Genomic DNA, 26392 nt, shown 5'->3' on the forward strand with positions numbered 1-26392 from the left:
AAGACTATATAGTAATTACATCACCATACTGTTGGGTTTACAATATAGGTGCAGTGTATATTAATAACAAAGGAGTGGGTAGGAAATGGAACTCTATTGGGACAAAGATGTATCTTATTAGAATTAATTAGTCCTAATTTGAAGATGATTGTAATAAATTGAAATGCATGCTGTAGAGCCTGGAGTAACCACTGAAGCATCAATTTAAAAATAAATTAAAAAAAACAAAATGGTACACCAAGAAATATTTAACACAAAAGGCAGAAAGAAAGAAGCAAAATGATAGACATTTGGAAAACAAATAGCAAAATGGCAGCCATAAGTAATCATGCCAATAATTTCATTAAATGTGAATGGACTAAATAGTTAAAAGGTAGAGATGGTCAGGATGGATTTAAAAAGAAAAAACTATATGGTGTTCACAGAGGCACACTGTAGATTCAAAGACCAATAGCTGTAAAGTGAAAGTATGGAAAAATATAACATGCAAACAGTAATCGTAAGAGAGCTGGAATGTCTATATCAGTACAGTGGGCTTTAAGACAAATATTACTGGAAATATAGGATATTTTAAAAAGCCAATATATCAGATATAACAGTTAACATATGTATATGCACCTAACAGGACCCCAAAATAACGAGAAAAATGATAGAATTGAGAGGAGAAATGGACAATTTAATAATATTTGGAGATTTTGACACCTACAATAATTGATAGAATGACTCAATTGAGAATCACAGGCATACAAAAGAATGCTGTCAGCCAAATTGTCCAAACATTTACCACCACCCACCACGAACAGAATGCACACTCTTTGCTAGTGCACATGGAACATTCTCCAGGGGAAACCACATGCTATTTCATAAAAGAAGTCTCAGTGAATTAAAAGGGATGAAATAGTAGGAAGTATGTTCTCCAACCATGTTGAAATTAGAAGTCAACAGAAAATTGCAAATCCCAAAATATTCGGAAATTGAATCACACATTTCTAAAAAACCCATGTATTGAAGAAGTCACAAAGGAAGTTAGAAAATTTTAAACAAATGAAAAAGTACAGCATGTCAAAATTTATAGTGTACAGCTAATGCACTGTTTAAAGGGAAATTTACACTTTTAAATACCTATACTTTAGAAGTATTAAAGCCAGTGGGGATAGCTGCAAAAATACTTAAAACACAATATTAGGAAACTGAATCCAACAACAGATAAAAGGATTTATACACCAGGACCAAATGGGCCATATCCTAGGACTGTAAGCTTCATTTAACATCAAAAAAATCAATGTATTATACCATACTAATAGAAGAAACAATAAAACCCATATTATTATAATAACTAAATAGCCAAAGGAAAGAATATTTGACAGAATTCAGCACCCATTCGTGATGAAAACTCAGCAAACTAGAAATAGAAGGCAACTTCCTCAACCTAGTGAAGGGCATCGATAAAAAACTCACAGCCAACATACTTGATGGTGAAAGAATACTTTTCTCCTTAAATCAGAAACAAGTCGAGAACATCCTTTCATCATTTCTATTCAATGTTGTCATGGAGGTTCTGTCCAGTCCCTGTTCCCTCTCCCTACAAAAAGACTAGAAAGACATTAGGTTGGGGAAAAAAGTAAAACTGTCTTTATTAAGAAATATTACCTGTCAGATTCTAAAGAATCCACCGGAAAAAATTTTTTTTTTGAAGCTACAAGACCTAATTCAGCAAGCAAGGTTGTAGGATACACAATCAATATTAAAAATTGACATTATATTAGCAATGAACGATACCTTCAAAAGTAAACTCAGAATAGCGTCAAAAAGAATATAATAATACATTTATTTAATTGAAAAAATATTGCCGAGAGAAATCAAAGGATCTAAATGAGAACTTCCATGCTCATGGATTAGAGAATTCAACAGTGTTATGATGGCAATTCTCCCCAAATTGTTCTATAGATTCAACTCAATCCCTAGCGATATTCCAGAAAGGTTTTTCTTTAAATTCACAAGCTGATCCTAAAACTTAACATGGAAATGCAAAATGTCTAAAAGATCCTAAATGATTTTGAAATGCACAAAATTGGAGGAATTGCCTTACCCAGTTTCAAAACTTACTGTAAAGCAACAATAATCAAGACTGTTTATTGACACAAGGATAGTCAGTCATATACAGCAACAGGACAGAATTAAGAGTCCAGAAATAAGCCCTCACAGACGACCAACGGACTTTCAAGATATGTGCAAAGATAATTCAACAGGAGAAAAGACAGTCATTTCAATAAATGGTGCTGAGACAATTGGATATCTGTATTTTAAAAGGAAGGAAAAAAGGAAGAAAGTTAATTAGACCCTCAGCTCATTATGCACCTAAAGGTAAGAGCTAAAGCTATACAACTTCTAGAAGAAAACAGGAGAAAATCTTTGTGATGTTAGGTTAGGCAAAGATTTTAATAGGACTTCAAAAGCAAAATTTATTAAAAACCAGTTGATAAATTGGACTTCACCACAATTAAAATATTTGGGGCTTTAAAAAACAAGAGAATGAAAAGATGAGCCAAAGACTGGCATAAAGTATTTGCAAATCATACATCTGATAAGAGATTTGTATTCAGAATATATAAAGAACTCTTACAATTCAATAAGAATACAAATGGCCCAATTAAAAATTGGTGAACAAATTCATTGCTCAGAGATTGGGTATGGTAGAGTTAATTCTAAATTCTGTATTTGGGTATTAATGTTTAAATGGTAATTCGGCAACAGTTGATAAAGTGAAGCTCTAAATACCATGAATTATGTGTAGGACTGTGACAAAAAAAGTAAAAATAAAAACTGGTCAAAAGATTTGACATTTTCCCAAGAAGATATATGAATGGCTAATAAACATAATTCTTTATAAAGACTAGATGAAATTAAAACCACAATGAGAAACCACTCCTCACACACTCAAATGATTATAGTTTTTAAAAAGACAGATAGCCAAGTGTCAATAAAGATGAGAAAAAGATGAATCTCACACATTGCTGGAATGTAAACAGTCCCTTTGGAAAACAGATTGCAGTATCTTAAGAGGTTAAATAGAAACCTATTATGTAACCCAGTAATATCATTTCTAGGTATCAGTAGAGGTGCCAGATAAAATACAGGAGGCTCAGTTAAATTTGTGTGTCAGATAAAAACAATTTTTTAGTATAAGTTTGTCCCACATATTGCATGGAACATGTTTATACTAAAAAAAAGTATTGTTTATCTGACATTTAAATTTAACTCGGCTTCCTGTATTTTAACTTGCTAAATCTGGCAACTCTAATCCAAGAAAAATTAAAACATATGTCCACACAAAGACCTGTAGGTGAATATTCACAGCAGCATAATTCCTAATAGTCAAAAATGGAAACAAGCTAAATGTCCATCATCTGGTGAATTGATATTTAAGAGGTAAGGTATTTATACCATGGTTTATAAGACTGCTTGATCCTTGTTATAATGTGGATGACCTCAAAACCCTCATGCTAAGTGAAGGAAGTGGGATGAAAAGGTTGCAGAAAGGCACAAGGGAGCTTTTTCGGATGATGGGAATTGAGGCAGGAGAATAGGGTCTGGAGGCAGGGAACCTAAGGCTCTTTCACCCTGACTTCCTAGAACTAAATTGAAAGGAAAACCCTAACTTTCCACGCCTAAGTAAAAAAAGGACCAGAGGCTGCAGATGGGAAATCTGTCTGCAACAAATCAGACTGAGTACCAGTGGAGTCTTCGTTTGCAACTTTGTGACTTAGCTCCAGCCTCTGAATGGTTGCCGTCCACAATCAACCAGACTGATTGCAGGCTTAGTCAGTCTTCATTTGCACAGAAGTATAACTTTGTAACTTCACCGTAGCCTCTGATTGGTTGCCTTTACCAATCAGATGTTTGCACAGGAGTGTGACCTTTGTAACTTCAGCCTCTGGTTGGCTGCTTTCTGCAACCAATCAGACTGATTGAGGGCTACCACTTCATTTACATGAAGTATGCATGAAGTGGCCAATGGGAAACTTCTGGGGGGTATTTGGACCAAAGAAGATTCTGTATTGGGGGCTCTTGAGTAGCTGCTCAGGCTGCTCCCACACTGTGGAGTGTACTTTTGTTTTCAATACATCCCTGCTTTCCTTCTTTTGTTGCTTCATTCTTTCTTTGCTTTGCTGGGCGTTTTGTTCAACTCTGTTCAAAACGCCAGGAATCTGGACAACTTGCAGTTACGACCTTCTACTGGTGACAGAATGTTTCAAAGCTTGATTTTGGTGATGGATTCAGAACTCCGTAAATTTACTAAACATTGTGCACATGAAATGGGGAAATTTTATGGTGTGTAAACTATATCTCAATACGTCTGTTAAAGGAAAAAAAAGTAAAACTCGCCTTTGCCAGTTTTTGTTGTTGTTGTTTGTTTTTTGTTTTTTCTTTAAACAGGGACTCTCTGTCACCCAGGCTGGAGAGCAGTGGTGCGATCACAGCTCCGGGCAACCTCGACTTTCCCGGGTTCAAGTGATTCTCGCCCATCAGCATCTCGAGTAGCTGGGACTACAGGCACCAGCCAGCACCCCAGGCTAATTTTTGTATTTTTTAGTAGATACGGGGTTTCAGCGTGTAGCCCAGGCTAGTCTCGAACTCCTGAGCTCAGGTGATCCGTCCGCGTCAGCCTCCCAAAGTGCTGGGATTACAGGCGTGAGCCACTGCACCGGGTCTCACCTTACCATTCTTGCCACCCACCATACTTCCTTCATCTGTCCGCCATGCTGCATGTCCCGACGCACCCTGCTTCCTGCCTTTCTGCTAGGCTCCGCCCTTCGCTGGAACTGCATTTTTCCCTCTCCTCTGCCTTGCTAACTTGAATCAACCCCAAGGCTCAGGTCGGAAGGCATTTCCTCCACTATTGTTGCGCATCCTGCCTGCTGGCAAATCATTGATCCCCTGCTGCATTTCCAAATCACTTACCTCATTTCATTGCACATCGTTCCTGTTTTAATCCCCTTAGGGAGTTAGGACTCTTGCTCTCCCTCTCTTCCCTTGAGAGAAGCAGACGGTTTCTGTGTATTTTCCTGTCCAAGCACCTAACGTGAAAATTAACAAAATAGTTTGAGTGCTTATTTTTGGTGCTAACTCTGCTGGGTCCTTGGATGCTCCGGGAGTCTGGCATGTTTGGGGTGCTTTGTCAAAATTTTTAGGGGTCTTCCCTAAATGGCTCCCACCACACTCTGTTTCCAATGCCGCATCATTTCGTACACATGCCTCCCTCTAAGCCCTTGTATTAATTTTACGTCTCTGTGTTGTTCCAAGGCTTGCTGCTGCAACTAGCTATGAATGCCTGGAGAACAGGGACTCTGTCTGATTCATTTCTGTGAAGCTCTTGCCTAGTCCAGGGCTTGGCTCAGAGCACGCACTAAGAGGAGCTTGTTGAATGAACGAATATTCAATTAAAGGAATCCCAAATGAATATGAACCAATCTAACAGAATGTCGCTATGGAGATGGATATTTACTTCATCAATAAGGAGAGTCCTTCATCCTGGGGCTCCCCAAATGCAAGGCCTACAAGTTTTTTTATAAAGGGATTTCTTACTGCCCCACCAATTTCTGGCCTCCCCTTGCTATTCCGTTTATTTATTCCATCAACTACTTCCATTTTTTTTATTGGTTTATATTTTTCTCATATTTGATGGCATTCTTTTTAAAACAATGAGCTCTCCTTAGTCAGAACCCAGCACCTTTTAGTAAGATGGAAGTTTGGGATCTTCTGATTTGAATTACGTAAAGTGAAAGAATATTTTTACATTCTTGATACTTATTCTCAATTTTGCATTCTCTTTATGGCACATTGACTGTATAATAAATCCTGTACATATTATTCATCTCTTTATATTTCTTTTCTTGTACTGTTCTCCCAAATGAAAACCAGAATTCTTATTCACAGCAATTTAGACCAGCCCAGCTTATGAGCAGAGTGATACAGGTCATTTTGGAAGTCTTTCCAGCTCTATTATTTTGTGATTCTCATATAGTTCTTACTTTTTTTTTTAACCAATGATTGAATGAAATCTGTTTTGATCATATTGGGATGTTCATATTTTCAACCTTTATTCATTTGTTTATTCTCTCAAGTTCCTTTTTATGTGATTTTTAAAAACATTTCAACTTTTATTTTAGATTCAGGGTGTACATGTGCAGATTTTTTTACATGGTTATATTGCATGATGCTGAGGTTTGGGGTATGATTGATTCTGTCACTCAGGTAGTGAGCATAGACCCAATGCATAGTTTTTCAGCCCCTGTTCCCTCCTACCTGCCCCGTGCAGCAGTCCCCAGTGTCGGTTGTTCCCATTTTTGTGTCCATGTGTACCCCGTGTTTAGCTTATAAAGTGAGAACATGCCATATTTGGTTTTCTGTTTCTGTGTTAGTTCGCTTAGGTTAATGGCCTCCAGCTGCATCCATGTTGCTGCGAAGAACATGATTTTGGTTTTTTATGATCGTATAGTATTCCATGGTGTATATGTACCACATTTTCTTTATCCAATCCACCGTGGATGGGCACCTAGGTTGATTCCATGTCTTTGCTATTGTGAATAGTGCTGCAATAAACATGTGAGCATCTTTTTGATAGAACAATGTATTTTCCCTTGGGTATCTGAGTAATGGAACTGCTGGGTTGAATGGTAGTTCTGTTTTAAGCTCTTTGAGAAACCTCCAAACTGCTTTCCACAGTGGTGGAACTTTATATTTCCAGCAGCAGTGTGCAAGGATTCCCTTTTCTCTGCAGCCTCCCCACCATCTATTATTTTTTGACTTTTAATAAGAGCCATTCTGACTGGTGTGAGATGGTGTCTCATTGTCAACCTTTAAAAATGAACAAGAGTTTGGTTCATCAGATCGCATTGCCTATGTTTTTTGTTTGTTTATTTGTTTGTTTGTTTTTGAGACAGAGTTTCACTCTTTCACCCAGGCCAGAGTACAGTGGTGAGATCTCGGCTCACTGCAACTTCTGCCTTCCAGGTTAAAGTGATTCTCCTGCCTCAGCCTCCTGAGTAGCTGGGATTACAGGCGCCTGCCACCACGCCCGGCTAATTTTTGTATTTTTAGTAGAGATGGGGTTTCACCATGTTGGCCAGGCTGGTCTCGAACTCCTGACCTTGTGATCCGCCCGCCTCGGCCTCCTAAACTGCTGGGATTACAGGCGTGAGCCACCACGCCCGGCCACTGCCTACCTTTTTAAAGAATGTGTCCTAAGCATGGTTAAGTTTGATACAGACATTCGGTGCTTGCCAAATACAGGCTGAGTTTAGGATGGCTCACCAAATATATAGCTTGATTCCTCCTGGACTATCTCATGCCATGGCTATGTTTGAGTCATTCCAAAAGCCAGTCGAATGGGATCTGTGACTCTGGGTGGAAGGGGCCCTGCATAGTACTTAACATAGAGTGGGCATCAATAAGTATTTGGTTGAATACACGAGTGCATGCAGATAATCTAACTGTAATCTAACTTCCTCAGAAATGCTGATGTTCTTCTGTAACTTCCAGGATGGAGGGTCACAGTGCTTCTCTATTGACATATATTCAGTGAGCAGGGTGCCTTCACTGTTTTCACAGAACATTATCTTATTTTTGGAAAGTAACAATTAAAACATTCTTTCTAGCAGAGTGACATATGTTGGCCCATATCTCCTCCCCACTCGTCTGCCAGGGTCCCACACTCCCAGCCTTTGTCCTGTAGCACAGCAAGTAAGAAACTGAGACCAAGTCCCTTTGGGTAGGCTCTTTACTAGGCTGAACAGAGTCTGTTTCTTAAACTGTCACTCATACCTTCCCAAGCATCCCTCAGTATGCTCCTGATTCCTTACTTCTATGGCTAAGAATCCGTGTGCCTGGTGGAAGATAACCCAGATTTCAGGTCTGTGCAGATCTCAAAATATCTCAAAATCTGTTTAAAAATCACAATTTAAAAAAAACTCAACTTAGCCTGTTCTCCAATAAATCCTCAATAGGTGGCAGTGTTGATCTTTCTTTGGTCTCTGGTCTGCGGGAGTGTTTTGGTTTGTTTGTTTTGTTTTCATATTAGAAAAGAGTTGAGGTTTCTACCTAGTTTTAGATTGAGTTCTACTAAATGTAGTTCTCAATCAGACTATTTTTCTTGAGGCCATACCAAAATCAATGACTGTTTTTCTTGAGGCCTTACCAAAAGCAATATCTCCTACGCCAGCTAAAAATGTGGTAAATCTTCAAGCTAGTATTCTATTATTTAACATTTTTAATTATAACAATTATTCATGGTTGTAAAGTTTCAAAAGCTACAGAAGTGTAGAAAGTAAAAAGTGAATGAAAGTTTTCCAGGTGTTTTGCTATGCACATAAAAATGCATATAGTTATAAAACATATAGATATATAACATTTATATATATAAATAGAGAACAATATGGATAATATGACTCTATATAAAAATGTTATATATCTGTATGTTTATATATAAATGTTATACATCTGTCATGTTTATATATGTAAATGTTATATATCTGTATGTTTATATATAACTGTTATTTATCTGTATGCTCATATATATGGCACATATATATATGAGGTCATATTAACCATGTTAGTCTGCAGCTTACATTTGCTTCTTTACATAGTGTTTGTTCTTCCACGTCAATATATATGATCACCATTCTTCCCACTTTCATGGCTTATAACAAAACTTTTACATTCTTTTTTTTCTTTTCCTTTTTTGAGACAGGGTCTCACTCTGTTGCCAGGCTGGAGTGCAGTGGCACAATCTCGGCTCACTGCACCCTCCGCCTCCCAGGCTCAAGCAATTCTCCTGCCTCAGCCTCCCGAGTAGCTGATTACAGGAGCCCACCACCACGCCGGGCTAATTTTTGTATTTTTAGTAGAGACAGGGTTTCACCATGTTGGCCAGGCTGGTCTTGAACTCCTGACCTCAAATGATCCACCCATCTCGGCCTCCCATAACATTTACATTCTGTTCTGGAACTACAGCCAAGTCTTCTAGGCTTGAATACTTAAACCAAATAAAAATAGCATTTACCATATTGTGGTTATACAAATATTAATCACTGCAGAAAAAAGTGTGATAAAATCTATAGAGAAAGAAAGAATATTCCATGTATTTAATACCAGCCACACAGCTGTCAACATTCAAATCTTGGTCTTTTAATGTAGTTTTTACTTTCCTCACTTTTATTCAGGTATCATTGTTTTTTATTTGCTTCAGTCTCATTTTTTTGAAATCTCATTCTTTCATTCCCTTTGTTTTGCACAAGTACTTCCGTGAGTAATTTTTACATTCGAGTGCACACGTGATAAACTTTCCTTGCATTGCTGGAGTATAATTTCAGCTCAAATTCATATTCCATTGGAGTTTTTTTTCTTTTTTCTTTTCTGAGACAGTCTCACTCTGTCACCCAGGCTGCAGTGCAGTGGTGCAGTCTCAGCTAACTGCAACCTTCACTTCCCAGGTTCAAGTGATTCTTCTGCCTCAGCCTCCTGGGTAGCTGGGATTACAAGCACGTGGTACCACACCTGGCTAATTTTTGTATTTTCAGTAGAGATGGGGTTTCACCATGTTGCTCAGGCTGGTCTCGAGCTCCTGACATTAAGTGACCTGCCTGCCTTGGCCTCCCAAAGTGCTGGGATTATAGACTTGAGCCACCATACCCAGCCTCCACTGGAGTTTTAAAGGCATGATTTTTAAAGCATTTCTGATGGGAAGTCTGAAATTAATTAAATTCTCATTTCTAATATTCAAGCTTTTAAGCCTTTCTCATTCTTCTTGGGGTTCTGAAATTTCTAAAAATATCTAGGTATGGGTTTTGTTTTCATTTATCCTGCTTGGTACTTAGTGGCCTCTTTCAATCTGAGGACTTGTATTTTTTCCCAGCTCAGGGAAACTTTCTATTATGTCTTTGACTTTATCCCCCACCACCTCTCTGATTTTTTTTCTTACCTTCTGAAACTCCTACTGAATTGATGGATGCTAGCCTCCTGGAGCTTTCCTGTTTCTAGACTTTTAGTTTTTACTATGCTGACTTTTTTCTGTATTTCTGGAGATTTCATTGACTTCCACACAACTGCTCTGGCTTTTGGTCTTGGCCATTCTATTATTCCTGTTTGCTGAATTTTTAAAATTTTGACCCTTATTTTACATTTCTAGAAATTATTTCTTGTTCTCCGATGGCTCCTTTTTTACGGCAGCTGGCTCTTGTTTTGGAGATTTCATTCTCTCACATCTCTCCAGAGATACTAATTAGGGTTTTATCTTTAACATTACCTACTTCATCTTGTTTTTTTTTTCCAGGATGACGTTGTGTTTACTCATGTTTGTTCAACTTGGTTGTGCTATTGGTTTTCCTCAAATATTTGGGGCTCCATGGCTCTCCGTCGACTTTCCTAAATGAAGGATTAGATTAATCTGTATGGATAGCTGGTGTGGCCTGCTTTCACAAGAGGCGTCTCCCTGGAAGGGGAGGGCCAGTTCAGGTCCCCTTGAGTGGCTGGGCCATATTGTCAGCAGGCTCACCTCTAGATTGCAGCAGGCAGCCTGGGATGCCCACGCCTGCCAAGGTAAGGAGGTATTTAAATAACGGACTGGAGTATTTAGCTATAATTTCCTTTTGGACAGAGGACTTTCTACCACCCCTCCATGCCTTCTGATATGGTTTGGCTTTATGTCTCCACCCAGATCTCATCTTGAATTGTAATCCCATAATCCCCTCGTGTCCTGGGAGGTACCTGGTTGGAGGTAATTGAATCATGGGGGCGGTTTCCCTCGGTGCTGTTCTCGTGATAGTGAGTGAGTTCTCATGAGACCTGATAGTTACAGGGGCTTCCCCCTTCACTTAGCACTCATTTTCTCTCTTGCCACCAGGTGAGGAAGGACGTATTTTCTTCCCCTTCCGCCATGATTGTAAGTTTTCTGAGGCCTCCCCAGCCATGCTAAACTGTGAGTCATTTAAATCTCTTTTCTTTATAAGTTACCCAGTCTCGGGTATGTCTTTATTAGCAGCGTGAGAATGGAGTAATACACCCTCTCAACCCAAACTTGCCATATATATTTGTTGGGGAGGCCTACATAGACTTCCAACCCTGTTCTTGTTCTGCTTCTCTCTTGACTTTAGACACCTATATTAGGATCCCTTCCTGGATAGATCACCCACATTTTTTAAGAATAATGATTGGGTCCTAGGTACCCAAAGGGCAAAATTACCACTAGTTGTTCCTTTACGGGTTGAGCATATGTTGAGCAGGGGAAGGGAGAAGGGAGGGGCCCCGAATGTCCCAGCCACTGTGAATGCAGCTCTTTGCTCAGTTACTCTGATGGTTATCCTATGGTCTACTCTTGCTTTCTGTCTCTTGTTTCTGAGTTTGGGGTTTCTCTAGGGCTCCCTTGAGAAGGAAAGTTCTTGGTACTGGTGTTTGGGGCTGTGGTTTACCTTTGTACTTTCTCAGTTGATCTGATCCCATCTACTTTTTCTTTTCTTTTCTTTTCTTTTTTTTTTTTTTTTTTGAGACAGAGTCTTGCTGTGTTGCCCAGGCTAGAGTGCAGTGGCACCATCTGGGCTCACTGCAACCTCCGCCTCCTGGGTTCAAGCAATTCTCATGCCTCAGCCTCCCAAGTAGCTGGGATTATAGGCATGCGCCACCACACCTAATTTTGTATTTTTCGCAGAGATGGGGTTTCACCATGTTGGCCAGGCTGGTCTTGAACTCCTGACCTCAGGTGATCCGCCCATCTTGGCTTCCCAAAGTGCTGGGATTACAAGTGTGAGCCACCGCACCCAGCCAATCCCATCTACTTTCTAGCTTCCAGTATTTTCTCAGACTTTCTCATCTGCTGGCACCCTGTCTTGCTTTCCAGCACTGATCTGATTTCACTCTTTAAAAAATATATTTTATCCCCATGGATCCATGGTGTAGTGGAGAGGTGGATGCATGTGCTCAATTTGTGACTTCCAAACTAATATATTTTTCAAACTTAATTTTTTTTCCTAATTCACATGGTTCAGAAGATACTGAAAGGTCTATCAAGAGGGTACAGGAAAAAATTTTTAAAGGTACTAAAAGGATATATAAAGTGAAAATGTCCCTTTCATCCTATCCCAGATAAAGACTACAGGTTGTCCTCTTATATTTATTCTGCCCTTCTTTCTTTAGAAACAAAATCTCCAATTTTAGCTATACTCATGAATGCTCAGCTAAGGAGGGCGTTTCCTAGTTGTGTCCAAGTCACTGAGTTCTGGCCAGTGGGAGGTGAGTGGAGGCCATGTGCTTAACGTTCAGTGGCTCTCCTAGAGGGCGTGGATGTGCCTTTCACTTTCTTTACTCCCCCTTTCTTATTGGCTGGATTGCAGAGGTGATGGTGAGCCATCCTCCTCCCTGCAGAGGAAGGCAACACTGTAGTGATGGCAGAGCCACACAATGGAATGATCCTGGGTCCCTGACACTTCGTCACCATTATACCTGCCCTGCTTTGTGAGACAGAATTGAAATGCTATCTTGTTTAAGCCTTGCATTTTGGGGTCACTTCTTATGACAGACAGCCTAGTCTGTCTGCTAATTGATATAATCTCTGGGCTATTCAGCTCACCTTCCTGGAGGCAACCAATGTAACCATATTGCTGGATTCTTCCAGGGATATTTCATGCATAAACTAACAAATGCATACAGGCATGCATGCATGAATGCATTCATATGTACATAAACACATATATCCAACCATGCATGTAGCCCCCTCTCCATTTTCACATAAATGATGCTGTACCAAACAGCTACACTTTAAAGAGGCCAAGCTTGGTTTGGAGGAGGATTGCTGGTAATGGCCCTCAGCTCAGCTTCTCCTTTTCTTGCTGACAAGGTGAGCTCTCTCTCCAAATATACACCACCTCCTAGCAAACCACAAACCCTGCAGCTACTGAACCCGCTTTCCTCTGAGGCAGTTTATTACTCAAGCACAACCCTCAGCGCCTTCTTACCCCTTCCCCCCTAAAAAAGAGGTTTATTGAAATGTTCTAGCCACAGAATAGCCTCCCTGTAAACAATTCCAATGCATTTTCCACCCCGTTTTTCATCTTTCTGGGGTCTCTGAGTGACAGGGGTTGGTACTCCAGGCGGATGTCCAGGGGATCCCCCTCCTCCCCCAGGAGGGCTTGACCCAGCCCTGCCATGGCCTCTGGAAGCCCTGGATGTGGATGTCTCCTAAAGAATGAAGCTGATTGCTGACGGTCTCTGTAATGGCCTCTTTCCTCTCTGCTCATCTTCTCCCCAACAGCCACGTTCCCATCCTGGGTCCAATGCCCTGAACTGATGTTGTAAGAGAAAAGCACAGTAGATTGGACAGTATCTCCACCAAATTCTACTCTTTCTAAAAGGGAGGGAGAAGTCTGAAATCCACTCAGGTTGGCAGGGGAAGGAAAAGGTGTATGTGTGGGAGGGGGAATGGGGTGAGTCTTAGAGCTGGGAGATGCTACAGATGACCATCTCTTGTGCGGCCTTGGCCATCATAATATCACCAAATGTCCTTACTCCTCTGCTTGTCTGAATCCTGCCTAGCTCAAAACTCATACCGTCCACTCTAGATAGCCTCCCTGTCCAAGGTGGCAATGTCTGTCTGTCTGTTTTTCCTTCTCTCTCTCATACACACAAACACACACACACACACACACAGGCTGTTTCTGATTCATTTCTCGGTTCTTAGAGTCCGTCATAGAGGTGCTTAGGCGCTTCTTGTGAAATGAATATGTTTTTAATTTTATTTTTTGAATAATCACTTAATTAAAAAATCATCTTGAGATCATATTGGAAGAAAAAAAATCAGAGTATCTTTCCCTGAGAATTCTTCCTCTCACCCTTGTCCAATTCACTCCACCCCATCACCTCCATTGACAACTGTCTTTGTTAGTTTGTTTGTCCTTCCAGTGATTCTTATGTAAATGTGAACAGATATTTGTATTCCTCCCTCCCTTCTTACACAGAGTATCCAATGTTCTTTTATTATTCCCCATTATAACCTAGAGATTTTAAAATTAATAAATTTAAAATACTGATCCATTTGCTTTTTCACAATAAAGCATGTATAGGTACAATCCCATGCATGTTACAATAATTTATTTTTCTTCCAAAGAAAAATGTATCCATGGCCTTTTCCTGAGAGGAAGTTTTCAGGGGAGAAACTATCCTGGTGATTGTAGAATTCTTAGCCCAGAAGACAGCTGGGCTTGGGAGGCTCTGGGACCCAGGTGAGTGCAGGAACTTTCTTACCAGGTGGCTCTGAGAGCTGGGAGATGAGCCACCTCTCATTTGCATTTCTGAGAGAGGCAGGCAGGGAAAAGAAGCCTGGCTCAGAGCATTGTCTCCAGCCCGAGTCACTTTTGGGCTGTGTATCAATCAGAGTTCCAAAAGAACCTGATGGGGATATAGATTAAGAGTTTTATTGCAAGGAATTGGCTTACATCATTACGGAATCTGAGGGGCAGGCCGTCAGGAAAGGAAGGCTGGGGCCCTGGGACAGGATCTATGGCCTCAGTCTACAGGCAGAATTTCTTCTTCAGGAAAGCCTCAGCCCTGCTCGACTGATTGAATCAGGCCCACCCTGGTTATCCAAGACAATCTTTTTTATCCAAAGTCCACTGATTTCAACCCCATCTACAATATACTTTCATAGCAATTCCTAGAGTAGCATTTGCTTGAATATGGGACTGTTCACAAGTTCACACATCAAACTGTCACAGGTTGACTTGGCTGAAACAGATTGTGTGAGAGCAGAGGCTAAGTGGGGGGCGTTGGAGTTTTGTTGTAGTTGTTGTTGTTTTGTTATTTTCTGGAAATCAATGTTATTTCCTTAGATGATACTACCCAGGGTAATCACGGCTGCAACGAGTTATTCCATCTATCAGTGGAATGAAGCATTTTTTTTTGCCAACTTGATGCTTGACTTTCCTAACTTACCTGCAAGAAGCGACCCCATTAGCCTCTTTCACAGGTGAGGAGCACACCTCAAGTTCTCTTGCTCATAAACCCAGTAGGAGTCACTGGGATTTGGCCCTCATCATGGTCACTGAGGGGTTAAACCTGCCGCAGCTCTGCTGACCCCTGAGGGTTTCAGCCAGTACTCCATGGCCATTAATCATCCTCATCTGGGACCAGGGCTGCGGGGAACAACGTTTACTAGCAATTAACCTACAGTAGAGGGACCATTGTTTCCCCCGCCTGCACTCCCCTCCTCTGCACGCCCAATTACTCTAAATTAACATTTACCAAGCAAAGTGCCTGTTAATTGGAAGGGCAGTAGAAAGAAAGGCCACACACCTACCCAGTCTAACTTAATAACCTCAAAAGCAGCCATTAATTAACAGGGCAGCGTTTCCATTCAGATCTTGTTTAGACAGTTCGGCAGTTAACTCTGTGTCTGTGTTTCTGAGCTCAGCCCTGCACCGCATCTCCCTGCCCTCCCTTGCCAGCAGCTCAGATGAAAAACACACTCATAAAGAAATCTTCACTCTCTAGAATGTCTGCACTGGCCAGGGGACTTAGGGATTCCTGGGGACAGCCTTCTTACTGTGTAGATGGGGAAACAGGCTGAGAAAGGCCTCAGGGTCCCAGGGTCAGACACTAGCTGGAGGCCTCCTGGCTGGGGGCTCCTATCCACCCTGCCCGATGTGTGTGGGTGTGACATGCTTTCTGTCCTCTCTGGTCTCAGTGCCTGATGCCAGGCACTCAGGATGTGGACTTGCATGAAGCCGGGGAGCAGGGGTGGGGCTGGGGGTGCGGGTAGAAAGGGGGATGCTTCTAAGAGGAGAGAGGGAGGGATGGAGAGGAGGGGGCTCCCTCTCACAAATGGAGAGCAGCTGCGGTGTCTCCAGGCAGCCCCGAAGGCCTTCGTCCATTGTCCCTCCCCACTTGTGCAGTTGGGTTGAGTGGCAACTGTACCCCCAGCCCAGCAAATGGAGGGTCCTGCCCACTTGACCCTGGGCATCCCTCGAGCCCAGCCTTCCTTTCCTGTGCATACTCATGGTCTCCTCCTCATTTGGTAGCCCTGGGGACCCCTGGCCAGTACCCTTCTTTCCCCAGGGCAACTGTTCACAGCCTCCTGACTTGCCTTAATGTCCTCATCAGACAACCTCACCTCCCTCCCTGAGAAACTCAAGCCCTCCAGGAGGGGCCTGCTTAGCTTCCCTTCCTCCCCCTGGGGCTCAGCCTGCCCTGTCTATAGGGCCTGCCTTGTTGGTGGTAGTTGGTTGCAGAGTTGGCCTCAACCCCCAATCTGGATCTGGACTCTGGTCTCGCGCCTCTCCAGGCTCCTTCGGGCTCATCGTCTCTCTGCAGGTCTCCACTCGCTCACTTCCCCTGCATCCTCCCCACAGCACAGGGCATACTCTCAGGGGACGCCCCTCCTAAATCAGCCCTGCCGTCCCCCATGGTCCTCCAGCTGGTGTCGAGCTTCTCCAAAGGGACATTGCACAGGTTGCGTTTTCCCACCTCCCACCCACTCTCAATTCTCCATAGTTGACCTTTGGCCCTCAACTGCCCCACAGAAACTGCCTTTCTCAAGTTTAAAACAACCTCCTTGTTACTAAGTCCAGGAGACACTGTGTAGGTTTCTGTTTTTGTTTTTTTATATGACCTTTTTGTAGGATTTTCTGCTGTTGCCCACTCACTCCCTCCCTCCCCTCTGAAACTCCTGACTTCCATGATAGCACTCTTTGTTTCCCAGGCGTTTCTTTCTGCCAGTCCCCACAGGATTTTCTGTGCTGGCCCCTTCTCTTCTGGTCACATATTCTCCGTGGGTGGCCTCATCCACTCTGTGGCCCCATTACCAACTAGATGAGGAAGAAGGGGAAGAGGAGGAAGATGATGACAGTGACAACTCCCAAATCTCTATACTGGGCCAGATTTAACTCCTGAGCCTCAGACTCCATCAACCACCTGGGAGTCCTCCTACTTGGGAGTCCTGCAGGCATCTCACGCTTGCCATGCTCAAAATGAGCTCATTAGCTTCCCCTGTACTGCTTCTACTTCCGGGCTTCTGTGTCGTTGGAAGTGCCGCCATGCACAGGGGAGTCATCCCTGCTGCCACCTCTCATGTTCAATCAATCAATCAATCACTCTTCAAGTCTCGTACCTTCTTATGTCTCCAACAAGCCTCTGGATTCCCATTGCCACTACCGTAGCTGTGACACATTCCAGTCTTACCTCCCTACAGGCAGAGCTACCTTGCTAAACTCATATTTCATCACATCATGCCCTTCAGTGGCATGGCGTTGACCTCAAGATAAGGTCAAGCTACTTAGAACATCATAGAAGCCAGATTCCTCAAGACCACTCGAGCATGACACATTGGGAAAATTCCTGCACTCTGCAAGGGTTCTAATCTTGGCCTCAGCTTTTTCATTTTAACGAATAAAACAAACATTCCCTCAATGGTGTTGGTTCTTAGAACCATGATATCCTAATTTCCTAATTATAGTCTTGTCATACTTCTATGAGGCAGGTGTTATTGTCCTTGTTTTATAGGTAAGAAAAATGGAGTCTCAGAGGGCACAAGCTCACAAAGTAATTAAGGTAGGATCTGAACTCAGGTCTGACATTTCCTATGTTCTTGCCAGGATCCCTCAGCTGAACAATTGAACAGAGAAGAGGTGGGGGCTTCCAGTGACCCAGGGACTGTTTGGACCAGGCCACAGATCTAAGAGACCTTCTCACACTGCAAACCTCTTTTCCTGTGTGCCACCGGGGATGTGTACCTGGGGCTTGAGCCCCTGCCTGAGCTCTGGATCAGAGAGAGCCTGCTCCTGCACCTTGTCTGAAATGGAACAGGGGTGACAGATGAGCAGAGGATCAATAGCCATCTGTCCAGGCTCCACTGACAAGCTAATCTTTTCAGTAAACATTTCATTAGCTCCTGCCAGTCTGCTGCACCTGCTGACAGGAGAGGCCAAACGGAGTAGGGGGAGGGGAACCTCCGCTTTATGGTAGGGCTCCAATGGCAGCAGGGGTCTCCTGGCCCCTGAGAGCTAGTTAAGCTCAGCTGGAATACCCCTGCCACGCACTGGAGGAATCCGGATCATCCCCAAGATTTTTGTATTTGAAGGGACTTTTAAAATCATTTAACCCAAGCTCTGTACTTTAAAAAGAGAGAGCGCAGTCCTCAAAAGTGACTTGCAGAAAATCAAAGTAGCCACTTGCAGAGACATCAGTGGAAATCAGACCGGGTTCTTTTCCATGTTGTGAAAACATTTGTATTCATTTTGTAATATGCAAAACATTTGAAATTATATACAGTTGTAACCAAACATCTTTGGAATGGGAGTATTTGTGAAAGAAGGGTGTTGGGTGGGTGGCAGGAATTTTCCTTTAATGTGGGTAGATTTAATTGTGTCTCCATGAAGGGGGCTGCACAGATTCCATGCAGGGTGACTTATGGCAAATTCTGGAGACTTATGTTCTTTTTGTTTCCTCTAGCTCTTCCCCAGAGAAGCTTCCATGACCACCATCTAAACATGCCCTTCTCCAGGCCCTTGTAAGAACATTATAAGTTCTTACAACAACTTGTGCTTTTTCTTCATCATACTGTTACAACTACTGCTGCTGCTGCTGCTACTGATCATGTCAGTGATATTAATAATAACAAAGCCGACACCTACTGAGCACCCACTATGTGCTGGGCGCCGCGCTAAGTGTGTTCCATATGTTATCTCTTGTAAACCCCACAACAACCCACGAAGGCAGGTGCTATTATATTATACTTTCCCATTTTGCAGATGAGCAAAGTGTCTCTGAGAGGTTAGGTGGAGGAGTGAGGGGTTAGAGCCTGGGTTTACCTCACTTCAAAGCCCAAGCTCTTACCCACCATATTGCATTTGCAGCTCGTGGTTCGTGGAATTATTTGGCTATCATCTGGCTCCTCCAGCCAGATTGTGAGGTCTACGAGGCTAGGAAGTACAATCAGTTGCCTCAGCACTATGTCCCCAGCACAATGGTTTCTTTGTTTGATTATGAACTGATGCAAGGTATTGTATGTGAGTTTGTTTAGCCTTTACTGCTCCCAAGCCAGTGGAAATAAGCTGGGTTTTGTTCATTGCTTTCTTGGGGAGTGCTGTTTGTGTTAGCCATGCAAATTCACTCTTCTCCTCTGCTGCTTCCCCAAAGTACTGCCTGCAAATATAGCTAGTTTGGGTGAGCTCTCATTTATAGCCCCTTTTCCTTTGCTTTTTAGAACAAAACCATGTCCAGAAAAATCTTTTTATGCTAGGCAATAACCCTTACTATGAACTCACTGTTCTGAACAAGTGAGTCATTTTGCACATTGGGGGAATACCCCTCAGTGTAGAAAATTATGTTTGCTGGCTCTCTTGGAGGCCTGCAGCCCCTCACGGCCTCAACGTGCTCCCCTTGTTCTATCTCCTGTTTTATCTCCACTGCTTTGGGCAGCCCTTCCAAATAGTTTTCATCCTGGAGTTTAGGTTGTCTCTACATTTCAATAGAAATTGTTGCTTTTGGATGATTTCCAGAAAAAAAAAATGGACATGCTGACATCTTGCCATGGGGTGACTTTATGGGAATTGGGGTGCCTCTGGGTGAAGGACAGTTTCAGATGATGGCTGCCATGCAAGGATGCAGCTTTTCTCAGAGCTGAGACAGGACCCAGCCAGAATGCTTGGTGTCTGATTCTAATGTCCTTGATCTTCAACTCTGCGTTAGAAGGCCTTCATTAGCCGTGCTAATAAAAGAAAAATAGAAAACACTGAAAAACTAACACAAAAAATTAAAATGGGCTGAGCGTGATGGCTCCCGCCTGTAATCCCAGCACTTTGGGAGGCTGAGGCAGGTGGATCACATGAGGTCAGGAGTTCGAGACCAGCCTGGCCAACATGGTGAAACCCCATCTCTACTAAAAATACAAAAAAAATTAGCAGGGTGTGATGGTGCATGCCTGTAATCCCAGCTACTTGGGAGGCTGAGGCAGGAGAATCACTTGAACCCGGGAGGCAGAGGTTGCAGTGAGCCGAGATCATGCCGTTTCACTCCAGCCTGAGCAACAAGAGTGAGACTCCATCTTAAAAAAAAAAAAAAAAAAAATTTAAAATGACCCATAACGTTTCCACCTAGTGAAAACTACTGTTAAAGGTGTAACATGGTAGATAAACACCTTCAGATTTTTCTCTATACATACATATGCACATACAAAAAGATGATCCTACTAGGCATATGATTCTGAAACTAGTTATTCTCAATTAGCACTATAGAATGAATATATTCCCATCAATAAACAGATTTATTTAATTTTTTTTTGAGGCAGAGTCTCGCTCTGTCTTCCAGGCTGGAGTGTATTCAATTTTTAATGGATCTATGATGGTCTAGTGTATGCATGGCATATGATTTATTTAATTGGTAACTTAGTGATGCACACTGCTTCTCATTTTTTAGCTTTCTAAACAATTCTTCACTGAATATCTTTGGCTGTATACCCCTGTCAACTTGCCTGAGTGTTTTCTCCTAAAGCAGGGTTTCTCAAGAGTGACAATAATTCTTATTCTGGGGGGATGTCCTGTGTACCATGAGATGGGTAACAGCCTCCCTGGCCTGCATCACTAGATGCCAGCAGCACCCCTTCCCCAACTTGCTGACAATCAATGTCTCTACATTGCCAAATGTCCCTTGGGCAGCACAGTTGCCCCTGCTTGAGAACCACTGCCCTAAGGATAAAGTTCTTAAGATAAAAGTTTAAAGAATATGCATATTTTAAGGTTTTTGTTATCTATTGCCAAATTACCTTCTCAGAATTGCACTGATTTATGACTTTATACTCCAAACAACAGTGTATAATAGCGCTCAATTTCACTACCCTTATGAATATGAACGTTAGCACTAAAAAAAGCCCAGCTCAAAACATTTTACCAATCTCAGAAAACAAAATGGGTTTTTTGTTTGTTTTTGTTTTGCTTTTTGAGACAGAGTCTTGCTCTGTTGCCCAGGCTAGAGTGCAGTGGCATGATCTTGGCTCACTGCAACCTCCCCCTTCCAGGTTCAAGTGACTCTCCTGCCTCAGCCTCCTGAGTAGCTGGGACTACAGGCGTGTGCCACCATGCCCAGCTAATTTTTGTATTTGTAGTAGAGCTGGAGTTTCACCACGTTGGCCAGGCTGGTCTTGAACTCCTGAGCTCAGGTGATCTGCCCACCTTGGCCTCCCAAAGTGCTGGGATTACAGGCATGAGGCACTGTGCCCGGCCAGAAAACAAAATACTATCTCACTGACTTTTAAAAATTACTAGAGTGAGACTGAACATGAAATGAAACTATGTTGATTATACAGATTAGCTATTGTTTCCACGGTGAATTATTTTTCCTTATAATTTACTATTTTTTCCTTTGGAATATTCATTTTTGTCTTATTTTTTCATGTCAGCTTTTAATATTATGAACAGAATGTACATATTTTTCCTAACTTGCTGTTTGTCTTTATGTGTTGAGATGTGTGGTCTTATTTGTTCAAAAATCCTAAGAGGGTTGTAAACAGGGCCAGGAAGAGAGTCCTCACACAGGTGTCTCTCTGGGGGCCCTGAATCGTGTCCCTGCCAGTGAGCCTCCAACCGGCTGGGTCTCTGTCTAGCAGAGGATCCTATGTGAGTCATGCTCTTTTTTATTAAAATCTGCTGAATGTTCCTTTTGTGTCTGAGTGAAAAGTTCTGGCTCTGAAAACTCAGTTGTCAGGGGAGCCTTGATCTGGGAAGACTGACCTGGGGCTCAACAATAATTAGTTCAGGTTAATTATTGGCAATCTGTAGATGTGCAGCATAGGAGCTTCTCTTCCCCTCGGCCTGGGCCTCTGGAGGTTTCTTTTATGAGCTCTGAACCCTGAGGGAGGACTTAAAGTAATGAATTTTCCTGTAATCAGATTTGAGGGTTTGTTCCCTGAGCCATCCAGTCAATTGGAGAATTGAGCACTGACTGGTTTATTTGGCTACGGGATGCAGGAGATGATGCACAGAGCATCTGATAAGCAACCCGGGGAGGAGAGTGAAGAAATGGCATGACATATTCAAGAAGTTGACCTCTGGGCTTGGAGGGAGCGGTTCTGTTTACAAGGGGGACATAGTGTCTGGGAGCTATTCAGAAGAGTGGGGTATTTTATTTTGAGTATCAGGGAGTAAGAGTTCTGCTTATCCTCGAGGGGAACCTTGTGAGATTCACCTTGAACTTCATTCCTATGACAGCAGTGCAGTTTGTACATGTTTATAAACACTTAATTTGTTCAGGTGAGCCACAGTGGCTCACTCCTAAAATCCCAGCACTTTTGGAGGTTGAAGTGGGAGAATTCCTTGAGGCCAGGAGTTTGAGACCAGCCTGGAAAACATAGTAAGATCCCACCTCTACAAAAAAAGTAGAAACATTTGCCGGCCTTGGTGGCACGTGCCTGTAGTCTTAGCTACTCAGGAGCTGAGGTGGGAGGATTGCTTGAATACTGGAGACTGAGGCTGCAGTGAGCTAGGATTGTACCACTGCACTCCAGCCTGGATGGGAAAGCAAGACCCTGTCTCAAAAAAAAATTAAATATTTAATTTGTTCAGATTTATTTAGCATCCATTCATTTGTTCATTTATCCATTCAATCAACAAGGAGGCACTGGGGATATAGAAAATACCTGCCCCTGCATTATTGGAAGAAAATAGATGCTTCATGCGGATTTGTGTTATGTAAACAGGGGGTCACAATGAGAAAAGTTACAGAGGCCAGGCAGGCCAAGTTAGTGAGGCGGGGGTTGGGTCAGGGAGACGATAGGGAGTGGTGAGAACTGGGGTGAAGTGAAGAGCCCATGTCTTCTCTAAGGAACAGCTGCCTCAGCTCCAGCCAATGGTTGCCAACAGTGTGGCCCAAAATTGCCACGTTTTCCAGTTTTTCAAGAAAAGTCGGAAATCCAGATTTTTTGGGGGGTAAAGTATTTCTATTTTAAAATTTTGGTTCATATTTTTATTAAGCATTCTGCAGGCCAAACAAAACATGTGAGTGGGCCAGATTCAGTTTATAGGCAGCTGGATGTGAACATAAATACTTCTGCAAAGTATGTGGATATTCTGTTTAATAAACACACCTACAAAGAAGACAAGGAGATGTCACAGGGGTTAGAAACCAAATAGAGGAAGGAGGCGAAGCTGGGGTAGGGGAGAAATATTTATATCAGAAGCCTAGGGTAAGGTGACTCTGAAGCATGAGACAAGCTTAAAGCCTACTGCCAGGCAAAAAGGGAACGTGTATTGTCTAATAAAAGCACATCTACCTATATATTTAATTTTTTCTTTTTAACATTTCTTTTAAATTAAAAAAATTTTTTTTTTACTGTTTTTGAGATGGCGTCTTGCTTCGTCACCCAGGCTGGAGTGCAGTGGCACGATCTCAGCTCACTGCAACCTTTGCCTCCTGGATTCAAGCAATTCTCCTGTCTCAGCCTCCCAAGTAGCTGGGATTACAGGCGCCTGCCACCATGCCCAGCTAATTTTTTGTGTTTTTAGTAGAGACAGGGTTTTGCCATGTTGGCCAGGCCGGTCTTGAACTCCTGACCTCAAGTGATCTGCCAGTCTCAGCCTCCCACCCTTCTGGGATTACAGGCATGAGCCACTGCGCCCGGCCAGTATTTAATTTTTTCTAATGTTATCGACTAAGTAGATGTGATGAGTGCTATGCTAGATTCTTTACCAAATGTAACTCTCAACTCTGCTGTCGGAACACCCTCATTTTTCAGGAGAAGAAACGGAGGCCCTGGGTGGTGAAATGACTTATGGAGCTGAGGCTTGCACCTGGACCCGGCCTTTGCAACAAGGTGTTTCTGAGAACAAGAAGGAGGCAAAAGCTACTTTAGGAGGTGGCGAGCACCACATTGCTACAGATTTATAAACAGGAAATGAAAGAGTATGTGATATTGAGGGAATTCAAGTATGGAGTGGGAGTCAGGCCAGAGGAGAGTGAGATGCTAATGAGCCTAGCTTGGGGAAAGGGCACCAAAACTCTGAGGCGCCGGTCCTGCCCTTCACCACTTCTTAGAAAGTTCTTCCTTCTATTGAGCTGAAACCTGTGTCACGGGTCTAAGCTCTGCCCCTGGGACAGTTGGGGGTGGCAATGACTGAGCATCTAACATATGCCAGGCTCTGTACTGGGCTTCAGGGCTGCCGTGATAACTCAGACATGGTTCATCTCCCCCAAGGAGCACACAGCCCACCTCGACACACAGGTGTGAGAACAATTGCATTTGTCTTATTGCTACCCTGCCTGGCATCCACCCTGGAGCCCCGCAGCGCTCAGTCACAGCACATCTTCCCCTCTGAATCCCTCTGATTCATATCAGAGTGCTGGGCCTGCAGGGGGTTGGCAGTAGATCCTGTTGCCACCCTGTCCCACATTCTCTGGCCCTGGAGTTCTCCTGAAGCTGCAAAAGGCAGTCCCCAGCTTGTGGGATGATTCTGAGGCTGGTTTCAGTATTTCAGAGGGTCCCCAGTGGGTCTGAGCCCACAGCTGCCTTCCTTGGCTTCTGGAGGCCAATTTTCCGTCTCATTTTCCTCACTTTCTTGCTTTGCCGCCTGACATTGCCTTCTCGATTAACTCTCTGCACCCAAGTCGTTGCCTCAGTTCTGCTCTTTGGGAAACCTAAACTAAGATGGACACCCTCCCATTTCACAGGGAGGAAAACTGAGTCCCAGAAGAAGGGCAGTGGCTTGTCTGAGCCACCCAGATGGCGAATGACAGAGAAGACCTTGATTCCAGGTCCGTGGCCCTGAGCTCAGCCTCGCCGGCTCCTTCCCCACGGTACCTCCCAGTCTTCCTTAGTCTTCCATCATCTTAGGCTCGGTTTTTCTTTTTAGCAGAATTCAATGGTAACAAAGTCAGAATTTGGGGTATTTTTTCAGATCTGGGAATTTTTTCTCCCATGATACTTCTGGTATTGCTGCTAACCTAGCCCGGTTTTTATCTGTAGCACCTTTTATTCATAGGTTGGAGATCCACGATTGATAGCCATGCCTGTTACCGCTTTCATCTTTTCTATTTCTTAATCGCATTTCTGGAAACATCTTGTAAGTTTATTATAATATATCTTGTAAGTTTATTATAATAAACATTTTATCAGTTTATTATCTGAAGTAAGAAATTTGTTGCTTACCGGTTTCAGTGCATTTTATCTTGAAACTATTTTCCTTTACTTTCTCTCCTTACCTCGCTCAGTTCTTATTTAATAGAACTTCCATATTTTGATGTCTCATTAAGAATATGCCCCTATCCATTCCCAAATTTTCCTTCTATTTCAGGAAGTGATTGTGTTTTTAAGGAAAGGTTTCCTTTGGACCTTACTATACCTGGTTCCTATTCTCTCTGTTACACAATTTTCACAAGGCCCCAAGTTGAGGTTTCATATGTTGGTTTTGTTATCTATCATCACATTCTTGAGCAAACAGATCTATCTAGGCCCAGTGTTGGTATCTCCCAGAAGTGAGGATTAGCACTAATTTCTTCTTAGTTTGCTATGACTTGGCCAGTGGTTGAGGAGTATGTACAGAAGCAATTGATGGGTTTTCAGTGAATTCTAGTTCCTTCCTCCAGGAAAATGTCCCATTTGAATCTCTTAGAAAATGCAACCACTTTAGTAGGTCTGAACTCAGGAAAAAGCTCCTTGGAAATGGACTTTCGAGTCCAAGCAGAGAAGAAAAGTCTAGAGACCGTTCTAGACAGGTGCTGTTTCTGAGGACAGAGGCCACCAGGGCCTTCACAGAAGGAAACTCTAATGGATCTCCATTGGCAGGCACCTACATGGCAGAATGTGGTCTGCACCAGGCCAGGGGCCGTGGCCTCTGATGGAGGGTGAGGCTTCCTGGACCAGAAGCCAGGAGAGCGAGGCGAGTCGCCAAAGGGGAGTGAGGACACAGACTGCAGCAGGGGCCCCTCTGCCCTCTGATCTCTCATTCACTGGAGGGGACCGTGTTTTTCCTCCCGTCCTCAGTTGTGCTTGTTTCTCATTTTTCTTTGCAATGGCCTGGTTTTCCCTTCCTTTTGGCAAGTGTCGTGGGTGATATGAAGGGAATTCTTGAGATTGTATTTCCATTCAACCTGCCTCTTCTCAGGAGCCACTCACTGATTTCAGACAGGAATTCTATGTTGAGTGTAGATTACAAAACATTTAGAAATAAAGCACGGAGATTCCAAAAGGGATTCATTCTACAGGGACGTGAGACTCTTGAATATGTCATTCTGAGTTAATTCCATTCTGTGCTTAATTCCAGTAAAGGAGATAAAAGAGAGGCAGCCGAAGACACAGGCTACACAGAACTGTGCTGGCCACATGCCTCAGTGCCTCATGCTGAGGGTGGGGCAAGAAAGCACATGT

General features: G+C 42.8%; 5 annotated features.

Moving 5' to 3' along the window:
• Positions 12168–12462: an enhancer, noted in NCBI's record as "tiled region #12902; K562 Activating DNase matched - State 8:EnhW". NCBI's record gives its function as "activates a minimal TATA promoter and a strong SV40 promoter by Sharpr-MPRA in K562 cells {active_cell/tissue: K562}" and the evidence as "EXISTENCE:reporter gene assay evidence [ECO:0000049][PMID:27701403]".
• Positions 15704–16486: an enhancer, noted in NCBI's record as "H3K4me1 hESC enhancer chr9:101932965-101933747 (GRCh37/hg19 assembly coordinates)". NCBI's record gives its function as "activates a minimal SCP1, AML or CMV promoter by ChIP-STARR-seq in naive H9 embryonic stem cells {active_cell/tissue: H9 hESC(naive)}" and the evidence as "EXISTENCE:reporter gene assay evidence [ECO:0000049][PMID:30033119]".
• Positions 16513–16682: an enhancer, noted in NCBI's record as "experimental_103896 CRE fragment used in MPRA reporter constructs". NCBI's record gives its function as "activates a minimal promoter by MPRAs in K562 erythroleukemia cells, with activity observed for both the introgressed and non-introgressed 9:101933859 variant alleles {active_cell/tissue: K562}" and the evidence as "EXISTENCE:reporter gene assay evidence [ECO:0000049][PMID:34662402]".
• Positions 23865–24365: an enhancer, noted in NCBI's record as "H3K27ac hESC enhancer chr9:101941126-101941626 (GRCh37/hg19 assembly coordinates)". NCBI's record gives its function as "activates a minimal SCP1, AML or CMV promoter by ChIP-STARR-seq in primed H9 embryonic stem cells {active_cell/tissue: H9 hESC(primed)}" and the evidence as "EXISTENCE:reporter gene assay evidence [ECO:0000049][PMID:30033119]".
• Positions 24366–24866: an enhancer, noted in NCBI's record as "H3K27ac hESC enhancer chr9:101941627-101942127 (GRCh37/hg19 assembly coordinates)". NCBI's record gives its function as "activates a minimal SCP1, AML or CMV promoter by ChIP-STARR-seq in primed H9 embryonic stem cells {active_cell/tissue: H9 hESC(primed)}" and the evidence as "EXISTENCE:reporter gene assay evidence [ECO:0000049][PMID:30033119]".

Source organism: Homo sapiens, chromosome 9, assembly GCF_000001405.40.
Source record: "Homo sapiens chromosome 9, GRCh38.p14 Primary Assembly".
NCBI classification, from domain to species: Eukaryota; Metazoa; Chordata; class Mammalia; order Primates; family Hominidae; genus Homo; species Homo sapiens.